Consider the following 3,483-nt stretch of genomic DNA (forward strand, 5'->3'; position numbering starts at 1 on the left):
CCACTTCTGTCCTGTGTATGTGGGAGGGGGCTGTATAGAAGATGTGAGAGGAAATTTAGTAGAATGGCAGGGTAGGGGGATGTCAGGGAATCACACTGCTGAAAAAAAGGCCTCCACAACTTCTAAAAGAAAAAAGGATAGGCTGTACTGGTCTTTGCATTTTTTTTTCAACATAACCACAAAAGTTAACTTTTTTTTTTTCCAATGAAAGCTTTAAAAAAGAAATAAGAAATATTGCCACTTATCTTTGAATTTTGATACCATCCAGTTCCTAGAGTTGTGTCCCAAATTCATGAAAATTCATGATTTGTTTTCTAAACAGTAGAGAATGATTTATGTAACTCAAATCCCATATTTTCTAGTAAGACTAGTGTCACTTTGACCTTGAAGAACTGTGTGAATTGTAATGAAAATAAATATTTCGATAAAGCATGACATCATATCTTGATTCATTGTGTGTTGTGTATGTTTAAGGAAATACTAGTACTTCCTTCTGATAGTTTTAATACCTTGGGAAATATGTTGACGTTTGCTTTCTGCTTGCCCCAGGGTCATGTTTGGAAATTCCACTCAGTATTAGAACCAGATTTAGTCGGTCAACAACAACACGGAATGTTAAATTTTTTGTTTTTTGGACTAGATAACACTTTTTAAATATTCTCCCTATGCCGGTCATTCTGGTGAGAAATATATATACAGATGAACACCAAGGAAAGTAAACTGTTGACAAATATATTGAAGAGTAATTTAATATAGATCAAATACCTTACATATAAGATCTTTCCACTATCACTTTCTGCAATTCAAGGCTACAGTTTAATCTGTCTTTGATTGTGTGTTGTTTTTTTTTCTGGAATGAAGGGCTGGAATTATATAATTAAAACAACCTGCATGTGCTAACATAAATTTGATTGGTCTAGACATAAGGATTAAATTTAATAGTAACCATGATAAGCTTTGAGGGTAAATAATCAGACTTTCGGAGGCCATCTACTTCATACTTCATAATCATCAGAAATATTTTACATTCATTACAGAACTTAGCATAGTTCCTGGCAAGTATATCTAGAAGATAGATAAATATATGCTTTTGTTGAATGAATAAATTAGGGATATACCAAGCAAATGAAGTACTTAACAAGTTTTTCTTTTCTTTTCAAAAAGATATTTTGATTCTAAGAGAAACAATGCTTAAAAACAAGCATGTAGTGGACGACTAAGACAACTGGAAAATAGGCATTGAACAAGCCATAAACTGACAAAATTAACTGCTCTCTCAGCCCCGTTAGTGAAACACAAGTATATTTGTGAGTAAAAAGGGTATGTTGCTAATGTCTCAGCTTTCAACACCTAGTGCCTTCATTCAGTAATGCACACAAAGTGTTGTAGGTTTATATTTAAAAACCTCAGAGGGCGATTCACAGTTACTCTTATTAACATATTCTAATACTAGTGAGAGTTCTCTTTCTTTCTCTCTCCAGGTATAGTATATTATAATTGGTTTAAACAAAGTCCCTCTCTTGTTTTATCTATTCATTTATTTTCTTTTGTCCACACACCATACTCCCATTCTTTCTCACTCAATCATCTTTGGATACATTCTATCAAATATCTTATTGAATTTTTGCATATAGTTTTAAATTTTGTAAATGATATTGCTTATTGAATCACCTATATTTTCTACTCAGAACAATAATTTAGATCTAATTGGCTGAGTGCAGTGGCTCACACCTGTAATCCAACACTTTGGGAGGCCTAGGCAGGCAGATCACTGGAGGTCAGGAGTTCTAGACCAGCCTGGCCAACATGGTGAAACCCTGTCTCTAATGAAAATACAAAAATTAGCCAGGGGTGATGATGCATGCTTTTAATCCCAGTTACTGTGGAGACTGAGGCAAGAGAATTGCTTGAACCCGGGAGGCAGAGATTGCAGTGAGCTGAGATCGCACCTCTGCACTCCAGTCTGGGTGACAGAGAAAGGCTCTGTCTCAAAACAAAACAAAACAAAAAAAAACAGAGTTAGATCTACCTATGCTGCTCTATGCATATCTATATATATGTGTGTGTGTGTGTATATATATATATATATGAAGTAGTTTACTATGACTTGGCAAAATAAGATAAAGGATGGTAGGAAAAATGTGGTGGTAATAAATAAGATGAAGCTGGAAAGTCATGAAAGGTTTTCCTAGAACATGGTAGGGAATTTGTATTTTAAATTTTCGGCCACAGTTTCCATTAGATTCACCTGAGATTGAGAATTTATACTCCTGGACCCTAACCACAGAGATCTGACCTACCCACCTGATTTAAATTAATTTTTCTAATGCAATAAAGTTGATTATGTTTCTAATTTGTGTCATGTTGACTTCTGCCCTTGAAATTAATAGTAGGGAAGTTGTTTCATTTCTAGATCTGGGTTTTAATACCTTGAAACTTGGGAAGAGGATAGTGCTTAGAACAGTGTTTAAAACATAATGTCAATAAACTTTTAAATTTGAGGATGATTGGAGCTGGTTATATCATGTATCAACCAGTCATCTGAGCCTAGGTCAAGGCTATTACAATTTTATGTTGACTCTGTCCATCTCTAAAGAAGAAAAATGATCACCTCATCTATCCCTTTCACCGTCAGTATCTGGGGAAAAAAATGACTATTAGTTCAATAGGCTGTTGGCTTTTAAAGTAAATAGATGGATCATAGATGATAGAAAGATGATAGATTATATAGATAGATACATAGATGCATAGATAGATAGATAGGCTAAAACCCTGAAATAGACATTTTAAACCAGTTATTCACATAATCCTTAGGCATGTTAAAGTTTGAGAACTTTTTGGCAATGGGCAGCCATAAAAAAGTATCATATATTTTAGAACTAGCTTGTCTAATACTGTAGCCACTAGCTACATGTGGCCATCTAAATTAGCATTAATTGAAATTAAATACAGTTGACATACAGTTAACATTTCAGTTTCTTTGTTGCACTAGCCACGTAGTATGTCCTCAGTGGTCACACGTTTCTAGTTGCTACTATATTGGACCTTAAAGATACAGGACCTTCTCAGTATTGTAGAAAGTACCATGGTGAACTATGTTTTAGAAAGATCATTCTAGTGGCAAGCAGGGAGGGTACACTAGGTGGGAATAAGCCTATAGTCTAGTTGACAAAACATTTTTTGAAGTCAAGAAAGAGTGTCCAGAAGATAACAATTACTATTGTTGAGTACTGCTCAGCAGTTAAGGATAGTGAAGATTAAAGTTATTCCACTTGATTTGGCTATCAGCAGGGTTGGTAACCTGTCAGATCAGCGTCAGTGTTGCTGGTGGAGACCAAAGGCAGAAATGGGAGAAAGTGAAGGAGGCTGCAATAGAGAAAATATACTTTTAAGAGGCTTGGCTGTCAATGGGACAAGACAGTGCATAGAGGGAAGGAAATGCAGAGATGTGGGAATTTTATTTTAATTGTAGGTGGCTTAATT

This window comes from Homo sapiens, chromosome 7 (genome assembly GCF_000001405.40).
Source record: "Homo sapiens chromosome 7, GRCh38.p14 Primary Assembly".
NCBI lineage: Eukaryota > Metazoa > Chordata > Mammalia > Primates > Hominidae > Homo > Homo sapiens.